Source organism: Homo sapiens, chromosome 6, assembly GCF_000001405.40.
Source record: "Homo sapiens chromosome 6, GRCh38.p14 Primary Assembly".
Classification (NCBI taxonomy): domain Eukaryota; kingdom Metazoa; phylum Chordata; class Mammalia; order Primates; family Hominidae; genus Homo; species Homo sapiens.
In genome coordinates, this window is record NC_000006.12 from 113,623,535 (window position 1) to 113,650,804 (window position 27,270).

Sequence of the window (27,270 nt, forward strand, 5' to 3'; positions counted from 1 at the left end):
ACTTGGCAGATTGTACATTGAAGAGGACCTGTTTCTTATTTGGCTGTTCAAATCACCTGGAATGGCCATTAAATTCAAAGGGATTCTGTGTTTGACTCTCTCCAAGTAGATTCTGAGTAAGATAAGAAAAAGAGTGGTCTATTCAGTGGTTAGTAAACTCCTTAATCTGTGCATTTCAAAATTAAAGACCCATCTGTAATCCTACCACTTTGAGAGGCCAAGGCAGGGGGAAATATCTTGAGGCCAGGAGTTTGAGGCCAGCCTGGGCCACATAGCAAGATCCCATCTCTACAAAAATAAATAAATAAAAAATTAGACAGTGTGGTGGGCCTGTAGTCCCAGCTACTCAAAAGGCTGAGTCAAGAAGATCACCTGTGTTCCACGGCTGAACCCTGGAGTTTAAGTTTATAGTGAGCTATGATCGTGACATTATACTCCAGCCTGGGTGATAGAGCTTGTCTCAAAAAAAAAAAAAAGTTAAAGGCCAAAGTACAAAGAAACCCACCATCTTACTCAGAATAGATTAAGGAGAATGTTTTCAAGGAGGTGATTAAAACTAAAGGTCTCAGCTAGCAAAGCCCGTAGAAACTGTTAATTCCTTTCTGAGAAAAGAAACTGCCTAAATTAAATAATCACTCCACCAAAAGGCATTTAAAGGTCACTTTTAGCAGACTCCTCTTGTCAGGAACATCAGTGCCAATTATTTCTGGTGTGCTAGGGATACTAGTTACCTTGTAAGAACGAAAAACAAAACAAAACAAAAAATGAGCAAACAAAACAATTGTTTTGTCATATTTCTGGAGAGAGCGTATCTTAAATCCAGCAAACAGACCCTAGAAAAACAGGAAAAATCAGCCTTTTCAGCACTGAACTTATGAACCTAACCATGAAGCACGACTCAGACTGGGCCTTATTTAGAGTTATCTGGGTCTTGGGCGTTCTGATTCCTCCAACAGCTAGGTGCAGATGTGGTATGGTCAAACGCAAGATTCAAGTCAGGAGGCTCAAATTCAAATCTAAGCTTTTACACATAACTCAGGCATGTTACCAAATGTCTCAGAATTTAAGAACCTTCCTATTCGACAGGAAGATAGTGATATGTACAATGCCAGGCTATAGTGGCACTGAAACGAGGTAATGTATCTAATCTTTTAGATTAATCTTTTAGATTAGCTTATTAAAGGGTCTATACAGTGTGTGAACAGTAAATACTAGGTAAGAAATGAGCTGTGTGCACTTGGCCAACTCACTCCATTTCTCTGGATTTCAGTTTCCTCATCTGTAAAATGGGAAATAATTAATACCAATCCCTTACACTATATAGAGACACAGGGGCAGAAGTGGTGGCGGTGAAGACACCAGAAGCAAAGGAGGCCAGACCTTCAGCCTCCCCACTGCACACAAACTGTTCACAGGACAATCAAGGCAGGCCCTTCATCTGCATTTTTTTCTTTAGATGGATTCTCGCTCTGTCGCCCAGGCTGGAGTGCAGTGGTGCGATCTTGGCTCACTGCAACCTCCCCCTCCTAGGTTCAAGTGATTCTCCTGCCTCAGCCTCCCAAGTAGCTGGGATTACAGGTGCATGCCACCATGCCCGGCTAATTTTTGTATTTTTAATGGAGATGGGGTTTCACCATGTTGGCCAGGCTGGTCTCGAACTCCTGACCTCAGGTGATCCGCCTTCCTCAGCCTCCCAAAGTGCTAGGATTACAGACGTGAGCCACTGCACCTGGCCACATCTGCATTTTTGTGTGTGCTTTAAACGAAAGAATGTATGGAAAGAACTTAACATTAACACATTATATTATAAAATAAAAGCAATTCTTAATATACTGTTCCATAAATTTTAACTTTTGTAAAACAAATACATATTTCTTAGTTAACTACTGTTTAAGCCCTCGATTCATACCTTAATTAATTAATCAAGCCCTAATTAATCCTGAAGCTAGGCTCCCTCCAGGGGGTTAGTCCTGGTGTTTTCCTAGGCCTGCTGAGAAGAGAAATGGACAGTGACCCTGTGATCAGATGAAATTCCAAAGACAGTCTCCACTGGACTCACACTCAAGCTCCCTGCCTCCATCTCTAGAGAACTGCAAGTAAATTACTTCCCAGAGCTTTGGGAGCCTCAGCGAACAACATATGGATTAGAGAAATGGGTTAGTCTGTCTCCTGGCCTCTCTTCTAGGAGAGAAGACAATCTGCTATAGAAGTACCAAATATGAAGGTTTCACATCTACTTCGCATCTTTTTGAGTTGCTTTTAGCAGCAACCTGGAAAGCTCCTTCACTTATGCCCAATACTGCAAAATGTTGGGCTTGTGAATTTAGAAACACTGTCAACACTTTGCTGCAGGTTGATATTAATTGATATTAAATCACCACGGAATATCTGTAGAAATGCACTAGATGCCGAAGGCTTTCTGACTGAAGAAAGGTAAGCACAATGAAATAATTAGATATGATTTGCCATTTCTTTACAAATGTTGCTACATACTCAATTCAGCAGCATGTGGTTTCTCACTTTCATTATTAGCTTGCTTGTATTCATTGTGTCTAGCTCTCTGGAAGTGGTTTTTTAAGTCCTTGAAAATCAAATAATGCAGTATTAAAAATCAATTTACTAGGTTAATCATAATGCTTTTCTCATTATGGTGTGCACATGTAATACCAGCTATTCGGATGGCTGAGATAGGAGGAGCACTTGAGACCAGGAGTGCAAGATCAGCCGGGGCAACACAGCAAAACCCAGTCTCTAAAAAAAACTAAAATAAAAATAAAATAAATAACGCTTTTCTCAGCACTACCAATTCAACTGAAATGTGGCTCTGTAACAATACTGAGAGAATGCAGGACTTTCAAACATGTTTAGGGAAGAAAGTGGGTACCCTGGATTTAGACATGGAGTTACCACTAGATATTTGAGGAATATATGTAAATTCCAAAGTTATTTAAAATGCTTCTCTACCCAACAAAGTTGGGATCATGGGGAAGATATATGTGCTGCTTACCAATATTTCTAGCTTCCCTCTTTTAGGACAAGGGAATATTATACTGTCTACAACCTTCGAATTATTAACAGATGTAGCCATGTGACTTCTTTTGGCCACCAGAAGGAAGTGTTTCATTTCTAACATTCTCCTGACCTGCCTGGCTAGCAGGGATGCACACACAGCAGAGCCATCACATGAGTGAGGGATGCCCTTGAGAATCACTCAGCCATTTAGCAGACTTTGCATGAGCAAGAGAGAAACTCTGTCACTTTACAACAGATTTATTTGCTTCCATAGCATGGCCTAGCCTTTCTCATCAGTACAGAGTCCACCAAGCCCTACCATAGCAAGCTTCTTTGGGTCCCTAAGCATGTCCTCAGTATTGTCCATTCACTCTTCTCACTACTCATTCTGTTCTCCTGCCTCCCTTTCATAAGGACCCTGATGTATACATTGGGCCTACCAGGATAACATACCCCATCTCAAGGTCCTTAACTTAATTGCATCTGCAAACATCCTTCTGCCATATAAAATAACACTCTCAGCTGGTGTCTTTTAATCATCTTACCTCACCTTGCTCCTCTACCATTCCACACGCCTTCTCACCCTTGGCTAACACAGTGTCTTAAACATACATCCCTGCTGAATAAATGAATGCTTAGTTCAAAATGTATACCATATCAGAATCTCTGCTTTATCAAAAGCCCAAACAATATGGTTAATAAAGCTACACACACACAAACATACACACAAAGAAAAAGCTAATGCACCTCATAAAACAAAACTAGGTAAGAAAGTTGCTCAATCCAGGCTATCAAAATTAATGGGAAAAGGAAGTAAACGATCCTCTCATACTGACACTCAGTAGTAAGTCCTTAAGAAATATTAAAAAATGCATCAAGTCTACGATTCTTTGCAGAAACACATATATTGTATATACTTATACCAGTAGTGAATACATATGCATGGAATCAAATCACCAATAGCTCAGCAGAACCTAAGCCATATGTCTTCTTGCAGAGAGTTGCTTATTAGCTGTCTTTCATTCTTTCCATATTAGACAATTCGAGAAAGGTAGAGACAGTTATTTCATTCTTCTCAGTTCTATTTCTGCTTTCTTAGTGTCTTCATATTCATCAATTCACAAGGGCCCTGAGGTGAGAAAACAGAACAAAAATCTCTCTTTAAACATGTGATCTCTCAAATCTGCCAAACTTGGTGACTTCATGATAATTGTTTCAACCACTTTCTTCTGCTGACCCAATACTTAATACGCCATAAGATTGAAGACATTCTCTTTTATCTGCTGTTCAATTTGCTTGCTCTCCAGCCATTTACCTATAGTTTTCATCATTTTTTCAGAAGTACAACCTTGACAATTCTGGGATCTTCCAATGGTGAGTTTAAACTAACTTGAGCAACTGTCTATGGGGCTTCTAATTATCCCATGAATGAATCCAATAATTGAGTTGAAAATAAATTTCAACCACAACAATACAGTTTTAGCTCGAGGCAGGTTCTGAAGTAGAAACTAAAAATATGAGACTAAAGTATTATTTTAAGGGGCTATTACAGGGAGAAAATGGTAAAATTTTTTTGCCTCTGTCAAGAACTACATGGGGGTTAGCAGCCACATAGTGGCCTGAGGCCTCGGAGGGGATGGCCTCTTTGGCTGTGGCTGTGAACTAGGATCAGCTGAGCCACAACAGTGAATCCCACAACATTCTCTGACACCCCGGACTAACCCCCTGCTCCTACAGACTTTCTGCCCTTGAACTTCACAGCTGCTCTCATCTCCTTTCCAGGTTTGTCAATTCTAGGTTTTCAGCTCACTTTATTCCCTAGCTTAGTTTCTGTTTCTTTATTCATAAAATAATGTTACAAGAATGAATAAGGTAAATATGTAAAACATGAGCATAATACCAGTATACTAGATCACACAAAAAAAATGTTACTTGGTTCATTCATTCATGTAATCACTTAATGTACAAGTAAGTCTTTCCACTAGGTGTGGGAGATATTATGACCAAAAAGTCACAGTGCTTATCCACAATTATTCCACACTACAGAGCAGAGTTTTTGAGCTAGAATCTATGGAACTCTAGGGTATGGATATATATAACTTCAGAAGGTCTGTGAACTTCTGAAATTGTGAGCAGAATAATGTTATGTTTATATGTGCTTTATGTTTTATTTTATAATTATCATTATTTTTTTAGACAGGGTCTCACTCTGCTGGCCAGACAGGAGTGCAGTAGCATGATTACAGTTCACCACAGCCTTGAATTCCTGGGCTCAAGAGATGCGCCCATCTTAGTCTCCTGAGTAGCCAGGACTATAGGATTGTGCCACCACACCTGGCTAATATATTTTTTTAATCTTTTCAATAAAGGTCAGGTTTTGCTATGTTGCCCAGAATTGTCTCAAGCTCCTGGGCTCAAGTGATCCTCCTGCCTCAGCCTCCCAATGTGCTGGGATCATAGGCATGAGCCCCCACACCCAGCCAAGAGTACTTTTCTAAAGAGAGAAGGTCCATTTCTTTCAACAGATCCTCAAAGGGATCTGCATTGTGGTCATTCTTGGTTTTCACCTACCCAGCACGCCTCTCCTGATAACACAACACATTCCTTCCCCTTGAAGAAGTACCATTTGCCATTCTCAATTGATATGGTTTGGATAAGGGCCAATCCCACCACCTGCCTCCAAGATTAGCCCCCATCCAAACCATATGGATTGAGACTGGCCAAGCTGGGCCAAACAAAGCAAAAAGGACATATACTTCCCAACAAAGCTTCAAAACTTGTAGAATTTAAGCCATAAATGTTTATAGCCATCTTTGCCATCATGTGAGGAAGGCTGCCTAAAATAGAATAAGGAAGAAAGCTAAGTCAAAAGCTGAAAAAAGGCAAACTTACAGAACTTTTGTTGAAAGAGTTAATTTCAGCTAAAATTGAGGTCAATTCCAGCCTGGGACTTTTTGGTTACATAAGCAATAAAGTTCTGTCTTCCTGAAATCTGTTAGAATTTTCTTTCCCTCCTTTTCAGTGAGATTCAATCCTGCTAATTCAGTTTAAATCTCCCATACCCACCTCCCCCACTCACCAACAAATAAACAAAACTCCTAGTTTATTGTCCCAGATACTAAGCTATCCAACCCATGGGTTAGGTATTCAACTTAGCTTTATTAATCATAGGGCTCATTACTTTATGTATCCTGAAATACAAACTCCACCCCACCACCAGGCCACAGTTTACCATGCCCCTCATTTTACTTTATCTCCACATCCACTTCTTCCAACCTTGCAGAACCCAAAAACAGAGATCATGTTTTCCTCTAATTGACTCTGAGCCACTTACAGAATCACAAAAGCACCAAAATAGTTTCCTCCCTGTGTTTTCCCTCCATATTCAATATGTCAAAGTGATTATACATCCTGTGTCCCCAATTAACATAGTAGCATTCAATATTTAGTACACTCTGAATACATATTGGTGGAATAAATAAAATAAGCCATGCTGGAACTTTATCTGTTGTTCTTAAAAGAAAGAGAAGCTGCCAGAATTGGAGCTTGATCCAGGGGCTTCCCAGGGGACCATCCTCTAGGGAAGAAGATGTTGGTTTCATAGTTACTTGGTCCATTACAGTTCACAGAGGACAGTGCACACAAAATCAGAAAAGCAGGTGGGCTTATTGCAGTAAACGTGAAGCAATAGCTAGTTTCATTTTGATAGCACAAATTTTAGACCCTACCCTAATGAAACTATAATACATGAATAAAAAATGAAAGTTAATATATGAAAATGAAACCAATCATTACAATAAAAGGATGGGATTGAGGCTATATTTTCTAATTATGAAAAATCTCTTTTATGATATTTAATGTGATTTAAAGGATTTTCAAAACACTTAGTACAAATCTCTATGTAAATATTAATGTTTAAAAAATATTGCAGCCTAGGCAACATAGCAAGGCTCTGTCTCAAAAAAAATATTGCAGACTATTCACTTATGTTACAACATATACTCAAGTGGGAAATTCCCTGGTGACAAAATATCTAGAAAGTATGCCAATAAACACACACACACACACACACACACTTCAATTAAAGGAATGAGCCCATTTAATGAAATGGACTATCTCTTATCATGATATGTAAATAGCATTTCAGTTATAGAAAAAATACTACAAAAATCACTAGAGCAATTTTTTTCATTGCAAGACCTGAACATAAGGTGTATATTTTTGTAACTGTGTTTTTTAGAAAAGAAGAAGTAAAAGAAGAACCACCTGCACCTAGGTGGCAATTCCCCATCACAGGGGGAGGGAGCCAGTCTTGGCCACTGGGCACAGAAGAGACTGCTTAGGAAATCCCTGTGAGCTCTAAAGGAAGTAAGAAAACACAGAAATGCAAAGCTCCAATACTCCCCCACGTATCACAGACTCCTCTAAATTTCCCACTGGGTGTTTCAAGAGTTGGTCCTGGTGAGGTGGGAGGGGGAGACCAAAGGGAAGAGAAAAAAAAAAACAAAGGCCATTTGTGGGGAAGCTGAAAGGACATGGAGGTACAGAGGCAGAAATGGTGGCAGTGACGACATATGGGGCAAATATGCCCAGACCCTCAGCCTCCCCACTGCACCCACACTGTCCACAGGACAATCGGGGCAGGACCTTCATCTGTGTCCTCCGGTTGAGGGGTTGCCTACATAATCTGAAAGAGAAGCGTGAAACTCCAGAAGGGGAAAAAAATGCCTCTTTTGAAGGGGACTTCCCTTGCCAGTGAGGTTTCAGATCATGTTCTGTAACAGCCTACTGGCCTGTGACAGGGCCTCCAGGAAATGAGACAACTCAGATGCAGAGTACTAAGGGAAAAATTTCAGTAGTGGCTTGAGAAAACTAACTGTTGAGTCTGACAAAGCAAAGTTCTAAGATAGTGCGAAGTATAACTAGGGCTGCTTTGAAAAGGAAACCCAGAGAGCAAGGACAGGTGTCGCTTAGTTTTAAAAAATAATTAGAGCTTCTGTTTATTGAAAGCCTACCATGTGTCAGGAGCCTTGCATGCCTTATCTCTTACTCTTACATCAGATGATATGAAATTGACATTATTATCCCCATTCTCATCTGTAAAGTGAGAAAACATACTCAGATAAATTAAGTAAATTAGCCAACATCATCCAGTTCCAGGGCCACGATTCAAGCCAAGGTCCATCCGATACCAATTACTATGCTTCTGCCTTGGCCCTTCTGTCATTAATTCATGTGGTTCACTGTGAAAGTCATGGACTTCTTTAAACCTAGATTTCCCCTTATGACATGGTACAAGTAAGCCTAAAGTTAGATAAAATCATAGCCTATGATGAGCTAATTTAAGCTTCAATCTGTCTCTGTCACTAGCCAGTTCTGTGGAAATGGACAACTCAAGTAACTTCTCCAGGTCTCAGTGTTCCCATCTAAAAAGTGGGGTTGTAGTGGGCCTCTACAGCTCTTGACTTCTATGAGGCACACCGAGTCCTCACATGCCAACATAAAAAAGGAAATTTCAAAATTGTCTTTGTTTTTTAACAAAGTATATGAGGGGATTATTCCAGTTCTCTATGAATAATATATATATTTAAAGAGCCTATGTTTAAAAAATTAAAATGCTTTAAAACATTTTCTAGATGGCCTTACAAATGGAAAAAAAAAGTATTCCTAGCCAACCCTCTGTCAGCAGAAAGGCCACACAGAAAAAAGCAAATCACAATTCTTTACCCCTCTCAGCATAAATCATTACTCACCGTGGGAAAATGATTACTTGCCAGGAAGTAGAACCTATGAATCATTATACTGTTGTCCTCGACCTCTGATAGAGCAAGAATTAGGGGAAAGACTGAAAAGCTGGGGAGTGAACTCTGATTTGACAATAGTTCCACTCATGGCATCGTAAGGCAATGAAAACAGAAAGCTGATCGAGCCGTAGGGCTGTCAAGTCCCGGTGCTGCTGCAGTGCACGTCTGAACCCAGAGCAGAATGACATGGGCCCCTGACTTTCTGAGTCACTCCTTGGGTCTGAGTCTTCACAGCCCCAGAGTCATTTATCAGCAAATAGAAACAATGCCATCCCTGGGCTTGTCCCGACAGTCAACCTACTTGTTAATGCCTGTGTAAGAGATACCCAGCTTGGAAATAGGAGCAAAAGTCACAAGGAAGGGATTAAGTTGCCTAACATCAGCATTCATTTCCTAAAATAAAAACACATGAAAGATAGACACCACAAATATGTGTTCCCTTGTGGTATCAGCAAATATTGTGCTATAATTTCTCTACTGTTGCTAATAAGCTATGGCACACAACTGTAAATTCTTTTTTTTTTTTTTTTTTTTTGATACAGGATCTTGCTCTGCCATGCAGGCTAGAGTGCAGTGGCACAATAATGGCTCACTGAAGCCTCGACCTTTCAGGCTCAAGCAATCCTCCCACCTTGGCCTCCCAAATAGGTAGGATAGGGCAGGTGTGGTGGCTCATGCCTGTAATCCCAGCACTTTGGGAGTCTGAGGTGGGAGGATTGCTTGAAGCCAGGAGTTCAAGACCAAATAGCTAGCACTACAGGCATGAGCCGCCATGCCCAGCTAATTTTTGAGTCAGGGTCTCACTATGTTACTCAGGCTGGTCTCAAACTCCTGGGCTCAAGCGATCCTCCCACCTCTGCCTCCCAAAGTGTTGGGATTACAAGCATGGGAGCCACCTGTAGGTGGGTGAGGAGCAGTGATCCTCCCACCTCTGCCTCCCAAAGTGCTAGGATTACAGACATGGGAGCTACCACACCCAGCTTGCAAATACTTTTTATATTATGTTTTTCTACATGGCCTTTGATGTCTTTAGAAAATGTTTGTTTTAAGCAAGGATCTTTTTGTGACTAAAAGCACAGAAAAATACAACATAGTTAGTATGTTACACACCAAATATACAAAATCCTAGAAACTTATAGAAGGAGATAGGAAAATTGATCTTATAACTAATCTGAATATTGTTCTCTACTTTCCTTAATGTTTTTAAAGGTAGTGAAAGTAAAACTATATTGTTCTGATGATGTAGAAGGGAGAATGTTTAAAATTCCTCCCAGTTTCAGGAGGAGATATTAGAACCTGTCTTTATTATACTGCATTGATTAGAGGGAAGAGGGTATTACAGCCAAAGTGTTACCTAACCATTAGACTTTCACTGTATTTGATCCCACCTTCTTACTAGTTTAAATAAAATTTAAGCATGTACTACCATATATCTATGTTTTTATTTATGAATGACATAATCATTATTAATTTATTGTGAATAATATAAATCATTCATAAAAATTCATCTTTTTAAAGATTATATTTATTAATAATGATACATTTATATATTTTTATTATTCTCTTTTTCTGTACCTCAATAGATCATGTGCACCCCACTTTGGGACCACTGACCTTTTAGCTTGCTTGTCATGATAGAAGTCATCTACTAAAGGAACTCTGGAATGTTTGAGTCTCTAAATAATCTTGTTATAATCCAAAATAGCCTGTTAATTTCAAGATTGATCTTCAGGCGACTAAACTAAGCACTCATAAGAAATCACAAGGTAAAAGAGTTCAGGTCACTGTTTGGTTAGCTTACAAAGAGTTACTTCTATTTCCCTAAATGTTTTTGAATCACTGCCCTTTGGCTCTGAAGGGACAACTAAATATCATCTCATCAGTAATGCCATTTTCCCTCAAGTGTCTTTAACACAGAGCTGTTTCTCTAGAAGAGAACAAGGTTATATAAATGGGAGAGAACATGTCTCCCTCCAAGATAGTTATGCAACATGGGGAAGATTCCACAGAAGAGAGACAAGGCTGAACAGAGATGATGGTTCTTTTACTTGGACATGGTGATAACTTGAGTTTCTAGATAAACTTGAGTACTATTACTCAGTACTGGTACTGTTGGAAGAACACATAAAACGTCTGGCACAATCAGTGAAAGAAATATGGGCCTGGGTCCGGGTGTTAAATGGGTACAGGAAAGCACTAAACCTCTCACACTCACTCTACACCTACATGCCCCAAATCACAAAATTCCCCTACTTGAAGAGCGTACACTCCCCACTCAATTCACTTCCCATTTAAAAGTGTATTTGTTTGCTTTTCTAAAGATTCCTAGTGGGTTGGGGAAACTCACTAAACCACTATTAACACTTAGTGTGACCTTCAGGAAGAGGCCTCATGGACTAATAAATGTGCTAAGAGGATCTGAAATGTTGGTGATGGGGGTGTGGCAGAGAAGGAAGGATGAAAGGGAGAAACCCGTTTAGAAAGCCTATTGATTTCTAAGGGGGTAATGCTGGGGTGGGGGAAAGTAGTGAATAAATTATCTGACAGGCAAGCAACATCATTCACACTTTTGTTTAGAAATCATTCTAATGACAGCCACCCTAAATTTTGGTTCTATGTTGGGTTAGTTCCACAATCACTGAAATGAGGAAGTGAGCTCAACAATTTTGTAAACCTCAGAGTTGACAAGAAGTTATGAAAATTCCCAGTGGGGTTACATTAGACTCTAGCACTTACTTAAACAAGGAAAAGCAGGGAGATTCCATTGATGAATCATATCTAAGGGACAAGGGAGGCTGTAGGGTTTTCTCAGACAAAATGGGTCTTTACAAAATTGGAGAGAACCAAATGGAGTTAACAAGTTTGGAAGATACAGGTGTATTTCCCATAGAACATGAGAATGAACACTAAATGAGAAATTCTTGGAAACAAAGACTGATGCAAGAAGAATGCCTGGTTGGAAGTGAAAAAAGCAAGAGCAAAGATGCTGGTTCTGAGGCCAGAGGCAATGTTGGGGAAGGATCTTGGGACTGAGTCAGCTGGGACCAAGGAAGAGCCAACCATACCTGGATGGATTTAAGGAATGCTAAGACAGGTCCAAAGTTGGAGAGAAGAGGTAACCAGAGAGCCTGAGGACAGGGCCAGACACTGTAATACCAAATTCCTTACAGAATCAGCAGGGTAGCACAATGTCTCCAGGGCAGGAGAGATGACCTTGCCAGAGGTATTTTGATGGTAGAGGCTGAAGGAGACAGAGATTAAGTGTACCGAGAAGAAGTACATTTATGGGAGACTAACATAGATGAAAATTTCTTGTAAAGTTTTTTCCTGTTGAACACATCTGCTATAAAGGCTTTGGCATCAAATTTTGTATGATACAAAAATCATAACAGCACTGAAGTGACTAATAAATGTGTAATGTCAAACCTAATGTGAGCATAAAAAACTTTGAACACCTTAGATGGTAATTTGGAAGGTTCTAATTGCACCTTGACAACAAAACATAAACATTAGAGTCTACATGATGTCAAAACATCTGAATGGAAAAAGAAAAATAAGCATCTTTTTCTGCAAAGCCCAAACATTTGTATATTTTGGAAGACTAAATATATATTTGATAAAACCACAGTATATAAAGTCAAGGCATTTTATGATCTTCCTGGATGTAATTATTTTCCATGACTTTGTGTAATCATGGTAAAATAGTGATAGTTCAATAACTGATAACTAACTATAATAATAATTAACATGTAACAGTGACTGAGTTTCCAAATAACTGTATGATGTATGTATTTTTAGTGCCTGTATTTTGTACATGAGTCTTTTACAAATAAAGTGATTTGCTCAGTCACACAAAGGCAGAGGCAGGACTCAGAACTATACTTACCTGTTTCCAGAATCCTAGCTCATCCTACAACTGGCCATTTACATAGTTTTAATTGGTTTTAAAAAGTTTTTTTTTTACATTAGAAATCATTTCTGTAATAACATTTTATCTTATTGCATCCTGTTTTATTACAGTGAAAGGACCTGCTTACTTATTATCTCCCCAGCTACACTGGAATTCTTCCACAGCTTACATGAGGTCATCAGCCTCTGGCCATGTCTGGAAAACAGCAGGAGCTCAACTAATGTTTATTAAACTAAACTAGATCTAAAATGGATACAAAATTAACAGTTCTGGCTGAGCACAGTGGCACACACCTATAATCCCAGCACTTAGGGAGGCCAATGTGAGAAGATCACTTGAAGCCAGGAATTTGACACCAGCCTGGGCAACACGGAAAGATAACAAGACTCTGTCTCTACAAAAAAGTTTAAAAATTAGCCAGGTGTGATGGTGCATACCAGTCATCCCAGCTACATGGGAGGCTGAGGTGGAAGGATAGCTTGAATCCAGGAGTTAAAGGTTGCAGTGAGCTATGATCACCCAACTACACTGCAGCCTGGGCAACACAGAGAGACCCTGTCTCAAAAACTAAATAAATAAAAATAGAAGAGTTTTGCTAGAGTTCAGAAAGCATGTCAGATCATTTGCATCTTAATTAATGGTACATTCGCTTCTAGACTTAAGCAAACAAGTTTCATCTACAACTTTGATTTCATTGGTTCTTTCAATATTAACATAACTTCAATGCAGTTTTATTGCTCTACATGTGTGTAGTTCAGCTTGTTTATTATGACTTTCCTTTTTGTTTTCCCTCAAGTTGATTACCTGCCAGCTTTTCTACACTTCTTTCTCACTCCCCACCTTGTCACTGCCTCTAGACAAACCTATTTAGTCATTTGTTAGATTAAAGATAAAAAAGACACAGGAAGAAAAAACAAACATGAACCTTGGGCATAGACTTTTTTTCTTGTCTTTCTTTCTTTCTTTCTTTCTTTCTTTCTTTCTTTCTTTCTTTCTTTCTTTCTTTCTTCCTTCCTTTCTTTCTTTCTCTCTTTCTCACTTTTGCTTTTTTCTTTCTTTTTTTTGATGGGTTCTTTTTTTTTTTTTTTTTTTTTTTTTTGACACAGAGTCTCGCTCTTGCTGCCCAGGCTGGAGTGCAGTGGCACAATCTCGGCTCACTACAACCTCTGCCTCCCAGGTTCCAGCAATTCACCTACCTCAGCCTCCCAAGTAGCTAGGATTACAGGTGCCTGCCACCACACCCAGTCAATTTTTGTATTTTTAGTAGAGACGGGGTTTCACTGTATTGGCCAGGCTGGTCTCAAACTCCTGACCTCAACTGATCCGCCCACCTTGGCCTCCCAAAGTGCCAGGATTACAAGCGTGAGCCACCACACCCAGCCCGAGACGGGTTCTTATTATGTTGCCCGGGTCCAGGCTGGTCTTAAACTCCTAGGGCCAAGGGATCCTCCTGCCTCTGCCTCCAGAATAGCTGGGATTACAGATGTGCCATTGCGCCCATCTTTAGACTTTTAATTTTATTTCCCAAATTACTGTAAAAGCAGCTTAGAATTATTTTTTTCTCTTCTGTTTTAGCCCATGTTATAACCTGGACAGGCAACTACTGATTCTTAATGTCTGGCCACTGATTTTTAAGTGCTTAAATATTCAAAAGTTTGTTAAGCATATTATTTAATATTCACTTATTATTCAGAGTCTGTGCCTAGGCAGAGCTCCTAATAAAAACACAGAAGACAACTGTTGGCATTCATTTTCATGCCATAATCAAAATACATTTCCTGATGGTGGGGAGTGCTTGCATGACCACCTCCCTGCAGAGCCAGGCAGGGGTGGTCACTACAGGTTAATCCAGATACTAGAGCTATTTTCAAACACTCCCAATGCCCATAAGGAGAGCAGGCTAGGAGCAGGGCCCATGGCTATCCATCAATGTGAATCTCTAGATCCATCCCTTCTATTTGCTTTCCTGCAGGATAAATACATTTTTTGAACTTGTACTGATCAATTTCAGCTGCATAGAAATAGAGATAGGAATATAACAAGCTCTACCTCTTTTCTCTGCAAGCCATTAAACAGATGTCAATTCTGATATGTTCTCCTCTAAAGGGACACATTCCAGTCCTAATTTCCAGAACATACCAGGTCAAAATGTTATATGCCATTTTAAACTTCCTTCTACCTTCCCCAAAGAGTCAGCAACTAATTAATTCTTAAGAAAGAAAGGAGAGGACTATGAGATTGTGTACTGAAAAATTAACACTTCAAACCCAAAATACACATGAGTTCAAATGCTGCTTCTTAAATAGATTATCTGAGCTATATTTCCTCCAGAAGCCTTGTTTTCCTGATCTGTAACATGAAGACAGAATATACTCTCATCAGGTGGTCATGGGGATTAAATGATATTTACATACACCTACTATATACACATACACATATATATAGTTATATACATAGTTATACATGATCCGTATAATACATACACTCTTACATACACACACAGTGTATAGCATAGGACTCAGTAAATGGAAGCCACTGCTTATCAGTCAAACAGTACTTATTAAGTCCTAGGCAAAGTTTAGGATTCAAAAGAGGTCCAATTTTATTCCTTTCTTCAAAGAGCTTAGGATATTATTTAAAAGTTAGGATAAAATTTTTGAAACATAATACATAATTAAGACATAAATTGTGTAATTTTTACTACATATATTGTAATTCAAAAAAAAATGAAGTAATACATAAAGATGGGTTGAATTTTTTTTAATAACAAAAAAAGTTTAAGGCCAGGTGTGGTGGCTCACGCCTGTAATCCCACCTATTTGGGAGGCCGAGGCAGGCAGATCACCTGAGGTCAAGAGTTCAAGACCATCCTGGCTAACATGGAAAAACCCTTTCTCTACTAAAAATACAAAAATTAGCTGAGTGTGGTGGTGCATGCCTGTAATCCCAGCTACTTGGGAGGCTGTGGCATGAGAATCGCTTGAATCTGGGAGGCAGGAATTTCATTGAGCCAAGATCCCGCCACTGCACTCCAGTCTGGGTGACAGAGCAAGGCTCCATTTCCAAAAAAAAAAAAAAAAAAGTTTAAATGCATATGTAAAGTTATTCTTTGAACACTAAAATAGGAACCAAATTTAAATAATACAGAATAGTTGTCTATTTTGTTCCATAGCATGGTCTAAGTTAGGACACAATAAAATGCATATACAATTACTAAGCGTTTAGCGTGGAATTTTCTTCTCCTTATGTTTCACCAATATCTAAACAGCCTTAAAAGACTATTAAAAAATACTTTTCCAACTACTATTTTTAGGGACATAAGTATCAAAATATTACCTCTAATATAAATTTATTGTACAGAATTTACATTTCATAAATTTATCTTAAAAAGTCAGGACCTCGTAGGCAATGATCTCATTTCTTCTCACATTAATGAATTATATTTTAGAGAAATTCGAGGTCAAGAGAGCCTTGATAAAATGGCAAATCATAAAAAGCAAAAGCAAATTAACACTGGGAACACTCAATACATTTGCCTAGTGAGTAAACAATAAGCATCCAGTTGCTATTGATAGCCTAGGTTGACTGGGAGATCTCTTACATCCTAGGGTAATCAAAGTTGGTTACTCAAAAAGGTATTTTCTTTAGATTATTTACTCATCTAGTCAATTCCCTAATATGAGCCTGGTATCGTGTTGTAGGGAGCTGACATTATACAGGTAATCACTGCAATATAGTAAGTGTTTCGATGCACAAATATACAAATTGCTTGGGAAGCACATAATCACAGAAGAGGAAATGCCAAATTGTGGAATAGTTAGGAAGGGTTTCACTGAGGGAAATATTCATGCTGGTTATTTGACAAACAGTATCCTTGAGAAGTAGATCCCAGTAGAAGTCTCTGAGTTGTCTGCCTGGTCTCCTACCTGAGCAACCAGCACTTTATTCCTTGGCCAGATAAATGTGAGCCAAAATACCTTGTGGTTTCCTTGGAAATGCAGCTTAGCAACCATTTCTGGGGACAAAAGTCCATAGTAATAGGCACCTGGCTGTTATCATGTTTGATGGGCCTATGTCTTTTCTTCTTTTTTAAGGACCTTAATACACCTTCCTTCCATCTCTGACTCTATATTCTCAACACTTAAAATTAACAGGGTTAGTAAGCAAGGACCAGTGGGAACAAGAGAAGGGAAAATTGTCTAATGGGCAGTTTATTCATTCAGTCCTTGGGAGTTTTCAGTGAGCAGGTTGGATATATTTCCAATGTTTTTCTCAAATTTTTAGGAAAATTAACTATTAAAGTTTTTTTTTAAATAAAAAGATGTTTATAGGCTGGGCACAGTCACTCATGCTTTGGGAGGTCAAGGCAGGAGGATCACAAGGTCATGAGTTCAAGGCTAGTCTGGGTAACATAACAAGAACCCATCTCTACAAAAAAATTAAAAATTAGCTGGGTGTGGTGGCATGCACCTGTAGTTCTACTCAGGAGGCTGAGGTGGGAGGATTCCTTGAGTCCAGGAATTGGAGGTTGCAGTGAGCTATGATCACACCACTGCAGCGTTCCAGCCTGGGCAACAAAGTGAGACCCCATCTCTAAAAAAAATTAAAAATAAAAAAAAGGGGCCAGATGAGGTGACTCACTCCTGTAATCCCAGCACTTTGGGAGGCCAAGGCAGGTGGATCACCTGAGGTCAAGAGTTTTTGACCAGCCTGACTAACATGGTGAAACCCCATCTCTACTAAAAATACAAAAAATTAGCGGGGCATGATGGTGGGCGCCTGTAATTCCAGCTACTCAGGAGAATGGAGCAGGAAAATCGCTTGAACCCGGGAGGCGGAGGTTGCAGTGAGCCGAGATCACGCCATTGCGCTCCATCCTGGGTGACAAGAGCGAGCCTCCATCTCAAAAAAAAAAAAAAAAAAAAAGGCTATTTATGTTGTTTTAATTGGGAAAAAAAAACTTTGAAAAAAATAAAAACTGAATAACATATAGAGCTGATAAAAAGGATTACAGTACCTATATACATACATAGCATTATTGAAATATATAGAATATAAACACCTATCATATACAAATCTTCTAAATAAGACCTTATCTGAAGATTTCAGTCATTAACTCAAAAAACACTGCTTCTCCATGCTGCTTATTAAAATCTGCTTCAACAAGTCCTTTACACTCCTGACTCAGCCATGCAGGTACATATTTTTAGTTCACAGGATTAATTAAAAATATTTATTAAACTTTCTGGCCTATCCCTCAGCTTTCTGATCACTGGGAATCTACATTTGCAGATATTCTTCAGCACCCAAGCACGCACTAGACTTGATCATGTCTGCCCAAGTCTTCCACCTGGGTTCTATGCTATGAGAATCACATTGTTAAATGAAATTTTGTTATTTTAAGTGTATTCCATTTGGTGTGTTTTTTAGGGCTTTGCTTTCTATTTTCATTGATATTTTGCCTAGCATCTTCCTCTTTGTCTTCTTTCTCCACTCTTCACTTTACTATGTCTCTCAACAAACCTATATCTAGATGTAAACATATCCATAAAGAGGGGAGCTAAGGCCAGGTGCAGTGGCTCATGCCTGTAATCTCAGCACTTTGGGAGGCTGAGGCGGGTGGATCACGTGGTCAGGAGTTCAAGACCAGCCTGGCCAACATAGTGAAACCTGTCTCTACTAAAGATACAAAAAATTAGCTGGATGTGGTGGTGGGCACCTGTAATCCCAGCTACTCAGGAGGCTGAGGCAGGAGAATCGCTTGAACCCAGGAGGCGGAGGTTGCAGTGAGCCAAGATCATGCCATTGCACTCCAGCATGGGCCACAGGGCGAGATCTGTCTCAAAAAAAAAAAAAAAAAAAAAAAAAGCGGGGGAGCTAAAGGAAATATATTGAGAAACATTCAGCAAGAAATCACAACTTCCTGATCCAGGGAAGATGGCTGGGGCTTTTTAAGCACTGAGTCTCTCCAAAATGATGCAAGCTGATACTACATCATTTCTAAACCTTCCAATCTACTCGTTAAAAGCATATAGATTTATATTTAACTAAGTATATATACTAAGTGGGAGCAGAGAGTTCTGGAGTAAGGGAATAAAAGAAATAAAAGAAAGGAAAGAAATGTATTTAAGGAACTGGATCTGAGCTGTGAGCCTTATAGGCACTATCTCATTTAATGTCTAAAACAAAACTGTAAAGTAGGTATGACTATCTCTGAGAGATAAACAGAGACTCGGAGAAGTTAATTAACTTTCCAACATTGTCGTAGCTACTAAGTGAAAGACCCAGAATTTGAAAGCAGCTGGGCTGATTCCACAGTTCATGCTTTCTACTTGCTGAACTCTGCTCTCATGCCAAATGGCACCACCCAGAAGATGCTGAAAATCCATAGGGGGAGGATAGATTTACATTGATAAGGGGGAAAAAGGTCTACTTAAAAAAGGAAACCAGCAAATACAAGATAGGATACAATAAAATGCAACAAGGAAGGTGGTCAAGAAACATAACGCATGGCCATGGACAAAAAGCAAAGAAGAGGAACAACCTGTGTTGGATGGAGGTGAGCTTTGATGTTTCCCCCTTGAGCTCATTGATATTTACCTTTCCTGGGCTGATGTGGAATTTGGATTCATTGGATGATTGCTCCACGCTCTCTTTGACCTTGTTTCTGAATGTGTATACAGAGTCCTGGGCTCCCCATGTATTGTTGTCATTTTTCCTTCCCTAACCTCCTTGCTCACCTATCCTTACCAAAACTCTTCCCCAAAATACCAGCTAAGCTAGTAATTCTTGAAAAATAACAAGGAAGTAGAATTTGAAATTGTTTTGATAACATCTGTGCAAACAGCTGCAAATTCTACAGATCACATCATCCTGAGGGCTGCAGTGTTTACAGTAACAAAGAGTCAAACCAAATATTTGCATCTGGGGCTTTACCTGTTAGAACAGCAGTGAAGAGTTCAAAGTCCAGGCTCAAGGCAACCATGGAGGGCTATCAGCAAGCTTTATGAGTGTTTCCCTCCAGGTTCCTAAGAGCTGACTCTTGGCCTTCTGCCAGCTCCTTTGAAATGGAGATATCAGCTCTCCTCATTCACTTATCAAAAACATGTCCATTTCTGGGCCAGATAAAATTGTTTGAGTGCTCATTTGAAATCCAAAGCAGCCATTCCTGCTTTGCTCCAGGAAGACATTTAAAGTTACAGACTGACAAAAGAAGAAAAATAATTGAGGACCCTTATCCACACCATCAACACCTCTTGTTTCCTTCCCAGAATTTGAACTGAAAACCCTAGTATGCAGTAATAACTCGGAAAATACCCGGACATTCTTCTGGGAACCCCCACCACATCTTTCTTTCATTCTTTGGATCATTATGAATCAGGATTTTAAAGGGAGTAACTTCATTTTGGTTTTGGTAGATTGAAATTAATTTAGGCCATTAGATGAAAGAAAGAGAAGGAGTGGAAATGTACTCATCCTATACTACCCCAAGTCTGGAAACATTACTCTTGAAAAATAAAATTCGTTTTAAATATAAGTTTAGCACAAATAATTCCCAGTGAAAAATAAACCCACATTTCTTCCAATAAAGAATATTGTAAGGCCCGGCGCAGTGGCTCACGCCTGTAATCTCAGCACTTTCAGAGGCCAAGGCAGGCAGATCACGACGTCAAGAGATGGAGACCATCCTGGCTAACATGGTGAAACCCCGTCTCTACTAAAAATACAAAAAATTAGCTGGGCATGGTGGCAGTCACCAGTAGTCCCAGCTACTCGAGAGGCTGAGGCAGGAGAATGGCGTGAACCCGGGAGGCAGAGCTTGCAGTGAGCCAAGATCATGCCACTGCACTCCAGCCTAGGCAACAGCGCGAGACTCCGTCTCAAAAAAAAAAAAGAATATTGTAACTAGTGGAACTTCATGTCATGCTAGAATGCGGAGTAGGTACCAGACACTTGCTGGTGAATTTTTGTGTAATACTGAAAAAAGAAGCATTATACAGGCACTGGGCAACTTACACTTTCAGAGTTTTCTGGGCTTTCCTGATGTACATATCAGACATATCACCTAAACAGAAAAATATGTGTCTACAAATCTAGTGTGTGTCTACTGGTTGTATACAATCTAACAAAGCAAAATTGACTATGTTTTAAAACTTTGTGCTTTAAATATTCATAGCATTTCCTCAATTATAGACTAAATATAGTTTCAGCCAAGTTTTGAGGATTAATAATAAAGAAAAATATCATTTATAATCTGATTTTACTTTTTGATAAATAACAAGCCAATATTTAGGGCTTGGAAAGTATTTTGCCAATTATTTTATTCCTCTCTAAACATATCACAGGATAGTTAAAAGCTGAAATATGTCCCATTTCTTGGAGGCTTACATTACCAAGTTTTCAAAAAAGCAGGATTTTTTTTTTATAGTCCTCAAGAGTATCCCTACAACCAACTTCAACTGGCCTGATAGCTTTGCAAGCCTCTGAGTCAAGGCTCAACAGCTGAAACAAAAAAGCCAGAGAATGGTCTATTCAACAGACTGAGGCATGTAAGAATAAAACAAAACTGCTTTATGCCATTACCAAAACTCCTAAATTATCTTTTCCTAACTATTTAAAAGCAATAAATGCAACTCCACAAAGCCTGAGAGACTTTCATAGTGCATGACTGTAGTCATTCCTCAGTTGGAGCCATGGGAAATACCACAAACCTCAGAGAATTGCACATATGTGGAAACTTTTCCCATAGAATTGTAGTAGGTGTGTGTTGTGGTTTAAGTCCCTTTATGACTAATGTAGTGGCTGATTTGTTTACGATTTCATTTCTTTTTTTTTTTTTTTTTTTTTTGAGATGGAGTCTTGCTCTGTTGCCCAGGCTGGAATGCTGTGGCGCAATCCTCCCTGGTTCAAGCAATTCTCCCTTCCTCAGCCTCCTGAGGATATCAGGCGCCGGCCACCACGTCAGGCTAATTTTTGTATTTTTAGTAGAAAAGAGGTTTCACCATGTTGGTCAGGCTGATCTCGAACTCCTGACCTCAGGTGATCTGCCCACCTCGGCCTCTCAAAGTATTGGGTTTACAGGCGTGGGCCACCACGCCTGACCAAGATTTCATTTCTTTTACGGGTCTCAGTGGCTACAAAACATTGCCATGAGGACTGTTTGTGGGGTTTTGGTTTCCGTTTCTGACCAGTGTACCAGTCCTTTTAGAAATGTGTCTCCCAAAGAAAGGACGAGAAAACTGCGGAGCAGGGAGGAGACCAGCAGAAGTCTAACTTGTGATTGTACCTCTCTGCCCTGAAGGGGAAATTTTCTTCCCAGTAATAAAAATGTGGTGGAGCCCAGATTCTTTATTCAGTTGAAGTTCCTTCCAAGAACAGCAAAGGGGGGCCTCAAGGTCTAAAGCTGCTTGGGCACGTTCACATTCACCCCTGGCCTCTGCAAGATGCAACCATGTGGCCTTGGGGAACAGTAAAAGCCGAGGTGTGTCAGGCCAGCCAGCTGACCATAAACTGTGCTTATCACACGAATGACTCCTTGTTTTCATGCTGAAAATATGCACCTCCTGGAAGCTCATCTTTCTTGGTCTGATGTGTGTGATGTGATTTACATCATGGAATGCAGGGGACATGTGCTCACAAGCATTCTGATTCAGGAATCAGGTTTCTATTATGTACTCCATTTGTATTGCCTTCTGCGGTGACCTTAATACATTTTTTTCTTTTTAATTTTGGACTTATTTTAGAGCAATTTATTTTCTATCAAATCCTAAGCCTAGAATGTCTACATGGAAGATAATTGCACTACAGTAAGCAAAATGTCCTGGAGCCTAATTTCACAAGTCTCATTTTCCTGCGGTCAGGGGGCCCTTGGCCTTGGTACCTAGGAAGGGCGCTCATGTGAGTAACTGAGTCATGAGAACATCCCCCTTGGCCTACTCTCTGGGCAGTTATCTTCTGCTGAGTGGTGTGTGGGTGAACATACATGGGGTCGCAAGCTCCTCAAAGAGATAAGACAGGTCTCATGGATACATCATGGATAGATTTGCCAGAACTAGTTATATTAATATATTGTGCTTCCTCCTGAGGCTGTGTTTGTATTCACTGAAGCTTACTTCTCAGGCAAATGTAGGGAGTAACAAATAAGCTTTATGTTCCTAGGAGTCAGGAAGTCTAGTTAGCATGGTTTAAAGCCTTCACCCTACATATATATATATATATATATTTTTTTTTTTTTTTTTTTTTTTTGAGATAGAGTCTTGCTCTGTCGCCCAGACTGGAGTGCAATGGCATGATCTCAGCTCACTGCAACCTCTGCCTCCAAGGTTCAAGCAATTCTCCTGCCTCAGCCTCCTGAGTAGCTGGGATTACAGGTATGCGCTACCATGCTCAGCTAAATTTGTATTTTTGGTAGAGACAGGGGGTTTCACCATGTTGGCCAGGCTGGTCTCGAACTCATGACCTCAAGCGACGCACCCACCTTGGCCTCCCAAAGTGCTGGAATTACAGGCGTGAGCCACTGCACCCAGCCTAGATAGTTGAGTTTAGTTTTTTGTTATTTTTTTCTCTGTAGGATCTCTGAGTCTTTAATATGCTAATGGGTATTATTGTAAGTTCTAAGTGTGTATAATGTATCCCAAGTTAGCATGACTATTGAATACTCCCCCACCCCAATAAAAGCCTATTATTATAACTTGAGCTATAAGTTTCCATAGAATATAGTTCAAAAGACCTCTTTCTAGAAGCAGAAGTTTTCTTCCTGCTCTAAAGTTCTATGAATTTACAAAAACAATGCAGAATTACACACTTTAATGGAGATATAAAAAGAGGTCCAGTTGATGATCTTATTGTAGCAATAAAGGATTTATATTGCATATAAACGTATTCACTATAGATAGTTTAAGCAGAAGAGTACTTATAACCAGTAGCTTATACCATGTAATTGAAGACCAAAAAACTAGTCTTGAATGCTACCAAGGAAAACCCAGGAAAAATGCCCAACCACATCAGTTTTCCTACCAAAAACACCTCTGCTGTTGCTGCTGACTTTTTGGCTCACATGGCACTAGAAAACAGAAGTGAAAACTCCACTAAAGCACCCCTGGAAGTACTACCCATGCCACTGTGCTTGCTGAAAGCTACAATTTCCCCCGTGTGTGTATGCTACCTAACCTTGCTTACTTCTGCCCCAAGCAGCACATTGTGGTAGGCAGAATTCTGAGATGCTCCCCAAGATTCCTGCTTCCTGACGTACACACCCTCTACAGTACTCTCTCCTTGAATGTGAGCAGGACATGTGAATACAATGGGATGTCACTCCCATAATTACATTCTATTATATGGCAAAAAAGGGTTTTGAAAATATAATTAAGGTGTCCAGTTAGTTGGCTGTGAATTAATCAAGAGTGAGATTATGTTGGGGTGAGCCTGACTTAATCAGGTGAGCAGTTAAAACAAAATAGAGATTCAAAGCCAAAGTCACTTTCCTGTTGGCTTTGAAGGAGAAAACTGCCATGTTGTGGAGAGGGCCACGTAGCAGAAAATGGCAAGAAGCCTCTAGGAGCTGTGAATGATCCCTCATTGATAGCCAGCAAGAAAGCAAAGACTTCAGTCCTACAACCACAGAAACGGAATTCTGCCAACAACCAAAAAGCCTGAAAATGATAACTGATAAGATTGTAGCCCTGGCCAACTTTTTTTTTTTTTTTTTTTTTTTTTTTTTTTTGAGATGGAGTCTCACACTGTTGCCTGGGCTGGAGTGCAATGGTGTGATGTCAGCTCACTGCAACCTCCGCCTCCTGGGTTCAAGCAATTCTCCTGCCTCAGCCTCCCAAGTAGCTGGGATTACAGGTGCCCTCCACCACACCCAGCTAACTTTTTGTATTTTTAGTAGAGACGGGTTTAAGCCATGTTGGCCAGGCTGGTCTCAACCTCCTGACCTCATGATCCGCCTGCCTTGGCCTCCCAAAGTGCTGGGATTACAGGCATGAGCCACCGCGCCTGGCCCATCCCTGGCCAATATCTTGATTTAAGCCTTGTGAGAGCTTGAGCAGAGGATCGGCTAATCCATGCCCATACTCCTGATTTGCAGAAACTGTGAGCCAGACAATGATGTTATTTTAAGTTGCTTAATCTGAGCGTGCAGCAATAGAAAATTAATATTTGCCTTTGCATGATGGAGCCCAGTTTACTCCTCAAATTCAAACTGCAAGAGCTTTGGGAGAATTACATTGTTAGCTTTCCATACTCTAAAATTCAATAAGACAAGTCAGAAGTGGTTGTTGTTTATATTAAGTGAGTCAATCCCTAGTGTCGTCCACCCACTTTTTTTGAAAATTATTTTCCAAAATATCTTTTACAGCCTATATGATAGGCTAAAAGATGTCATTTCATTTTTTGTTTGTGTAAAATGGCAAAGATCAACCTGTCCTGTGAATGAGTATTCAAGAAAAAGTAATTAACATTGCTATCAGCAATTTCCTTGTATGCATCAACCAGTTGGGTGAACTCATATAAATATTCCTGCTGATTTCTCTATTAAAAAATGCTTAGAGAATAGACAATTTAGGAGATTACTGCTACTCCAGGAGTGGCCACTTTAGCAGGACTGTTGACATGGAGACTTTCCATGACCTTACACACATGTTGATAAGAATGCCTGTGGCCTCTGGTTCTCATCAGTATTGAGTAGATTGATAATATTCTCAGTGGTCTTCTCATAGCGAGTCCAGCAAACCATCAACAAAGTAAAGCTAATAAGAGAGGGATTTTTTAAAATCTTTCAGCAGAGAAGCATTAGGGCAAGTTATATTTATCTGATCATGTACTACTATTTCTCCCAGGGAGTGTGAGAGGATGGGGAGCCGATAGTGTTCCATGAAAGTAGAAAAGTTTTCTGATTCACCACAAAGATGAATTTGTTTTCCACATAATGAATGTGTAGTATTTGATTCTCCCCACACTAAAGTGGTTCGGTTTATTTTTACATCAAGTAAATTTTAGCCATCTCCCTTGCTTTATTAATACTCTCTAACCCAATTTCCTTTCATTTCAAAACCACCAATGGTGAGGAAGGGTAAACAATAAGAACGACATGTAAGAAATTGTGGTATCCAAAAACAAAACGAAAAGCCCTATTTGCTTTACCTCATGTCGTAATTTCCCAGACTTGTTCCTCTTGGCAGTGTTGAGCTCCGCGTTTTCTCCCAGGGAGCAGAGCAACTTCTTACAAAACCTTACTTCGTGGGTTTTCCCAGGTGCCTGTTATTTCCTGAGCAGCACATAGTAGCAGTCCCTTAATCTTTACAGTTCTGAAAGTTGGCAAAGTGCCTTCAGAAAGTCTTGTCTTATTTCAATTGATTCCTTTGCAACAACCCAATAGGAGTCAGGACATGTATCATTATTTCCAGTTTATAAACAGCAGAAACTTCCATTTCTAGAGGTACATAACTGGCTTACACTATGATAAGCCACGACATGGAGATCAGAACCCAAGTCTTTGGAGTGTAAATGAGGCAGTCTTTCCCCAGGACTCCTGTCCTCTTACCAATACATCAGTGAATGGCTGGAAATAAAAATTTAATAGGCAATGACTTCCTGCTGTTCTCTAGTCTTGCCTACCCAAATCCTCTTCACACTCAGAAAATGCACATGAGACACTATTGACAAAACTAAGTACAAGTTTCGAAGCATTGACCTTTGAATAGGAAGGAAAAAGAAAAAAGAAATTTGCAAGCATAAATTTGTATACTGCTTACCTCATAAGTTTTACCCTTTTTCCTCCAGACCAACCATTTCTTATAGTCTGTTCCTAACTCCTCCTGGCTTCTGCCTAGACTTGCTGCTGACAGCCTTTTTTGTCTGAGTAAGTTGTATTTGCCCCTGCAGACTCTGCTCAGACTTTTCCCAGGCTGGTCAGGAGAGTCCTCTTCTGATCCAGTCTATTTCTCTTCTTATCAAATTATTAAAATTTCTGCTAAAGTGTACATAACCCTCTATAGGATATGAGCCCATTTACGTTTCTTATTTATCTTGCGTCCTCTGTATTTAACTCAGTGCAGGGAATTTCAGCACTGAAATGTCTGTGGAATTAGGATTTAATAAGCAATGGTTTTATTGGCTAGGAAATAGCGGCAAACAAAGGTGAGCCTCCAGAGGTGTAACTTCCCTATCCAAACTTTCTCTGTGGGGACTGAGAACCTAGGAAGGGAATGAGTCACCTCCTTTTACACGTTGCCATGAGTTGGTCTAGAGAGGGGAGTAGAACAGACGGAGTGAGGCCAAGGGTCCTAGGATATAAGGGTACACCTGTGGGTACTGTGGTGACCATGGAGGTGCCCCATTCAAATCTTCCTTCCAGAGGACCCGCAGCAGAGAAGAGAGCTGACTAACAGCCTTCTGATGCCCCACCTTTAAGCTGGTTGCAGCGTTCAAACCAGATGCTACTTTCCACGGGCTGCTCCCAGATAATGGCATAGTGCAGTGGGGATAATAGGACCAGGCCACCTCTGCCTGACACAGAACTCCTCTAATGAGAAGCTTCAGGTC

The 27,270-nt window shown here is 39.9% G+C and overlaps 1 long non-coding RNA gene across 1 annotated transcript, besides 9 other annotated features; it reads right to left on the bottom strand.

Annotated features, from left to right (window-relative positions):
- LINC02541 (long intergenic non-protein coding RNA 2541) lies at positions 1-26,541 on the bottom strand. Its single transcript, NR_125844.1, has 3 exons — positions 26,481-26,541; positions 3,987-4,141; positions 1-112 (listed from the first exon to the last, which is right to left on the bottom strand). It is a non-coding gene; the product is annotated as a long intergenic non-protein coding RNA 2541 (long non-coding RNA).
- Positions 2,696-2,745: an enhancer, noted in NCBI's record as "active region_24963". NCBI's record gives its function as "activates an Ori minimal core promoter by ATAC-STARR-seq in GM12878 lymphoblastoid cells {active_cell/tissue: GM12878}" and the evidence as "EXISTENCE:reporter gene assay evidence [ECO:0000049][PMID:35858748]".
- Positions 7,442-7,741: an enhancer, noted in NCBI's record as "active region_24964". NCBI's record gives its function as "activates an Ori minimal core promoter by ATAC-STARR-seq in GM12878 lymphoblastoid cells {active_cell/tissue: GM12878}" and the evidence as "EXISTENCE:reporter gene assay evidence [ECO:0000049][PMID:35858748]".
- Positions 7,762-7,901: an enhancer, noted in NCBI's record as "active region_24965". NCBI's record gives its function as "activates an Ori minimal core promoter by ATAC-STARR-seq in GM12878 lymphoblastoid cells {active_cell/tissue: GM12878}" and the evidence as "EXISTENCE:reporter gene assay evidence [ECO:0000049][PMID:35858748]".
- Positions 8,772-8,821: an enhancer, noted in NCBI's record as "active region_24966". NCBI's record gives its function as "activates an Ori minimal core promoter by ATAC-STARR-seq in GM12878 lymphoblastoid cells {active_cell/tissue: GM12878}" and the evidence as "EXISTENCE:reporter gene assay evidence [ECO:0000049][PMID:35858748]".
- Positions 11,387-11,436: an enhancer, noted in NCBI's record as "active region_24967". NCBI's record gives its function as "activates an Ori minimal core promoter by ATAC-STARR-seq in GM12878 lymphoblastoid cells {active_cell/tissue: GM12878}" and the evidence as "EXISTENCE:reporter gene assay evidence [ECO:0000049][PMID:35858748]".
- Positions 19,466-19,998: an enhancer, noted in NCBI's record as "NANOG hESC enhancer chr6:113964202-113964734 (GRCh37/hg19 assembly coordinates)". NCBI's record gives its function as "activates a minimal SCP1, AML or CMV promoter by ChIP-STARR-seq in naive H9 embryonic stem cells {active_cell/tissue: H9 hESC(naive)}" and the evidence as "EXISTENCE:reporter gene assay evidence [ECO:0000049][PMID:30033119]".
- Positions 19,613-19,907: an enhancer, noted in NCBI's record as "tiled region #5191; HepG2 Activating DNase unmatched - State 5:Enh". NCBI's record gives its function as "activates a minimal TATA promoter and a strong SV40 promoter by Sharpr-MPRA in HepG2 cells {active_cell/tissue: HepG2}" and the evidence as "EXISTENCE:reporter gene assay evidence [ECO:0000049][PMID:27701403]".
- Positions 19,613-19,907: a silencer, noted in NCBI's record as "tiled region #5191; K562 Repressive DNase matched - State 9:DNaseU". NCBI's record gives its function as "weakly represses a minimal TATA promoter and a strong SV40 promoter by Sharpr-MPRA in K562 cells {active_cell/tissue: K562}" and the evidence as "EXISTENCE:reporter gene assay evidence [ECO:0000049][PMID:27701403]".
- Positions 19,819-19,888: an enhancer, noted in NCBI's record as "active region_24968". NCBI's record gives its function as "activates an Ori minimal core promoter by ATAC-STARR-seq in GM12878 lymphoblastoid cells {active_cell/tissue: GM12878}" and the evidence as "EXISTENCE:reporter gene assay evidence [ECO:0000049][PMID:35858748]".
- Positions 26,542-27,270: the final 729 nt, after the last annotated feature.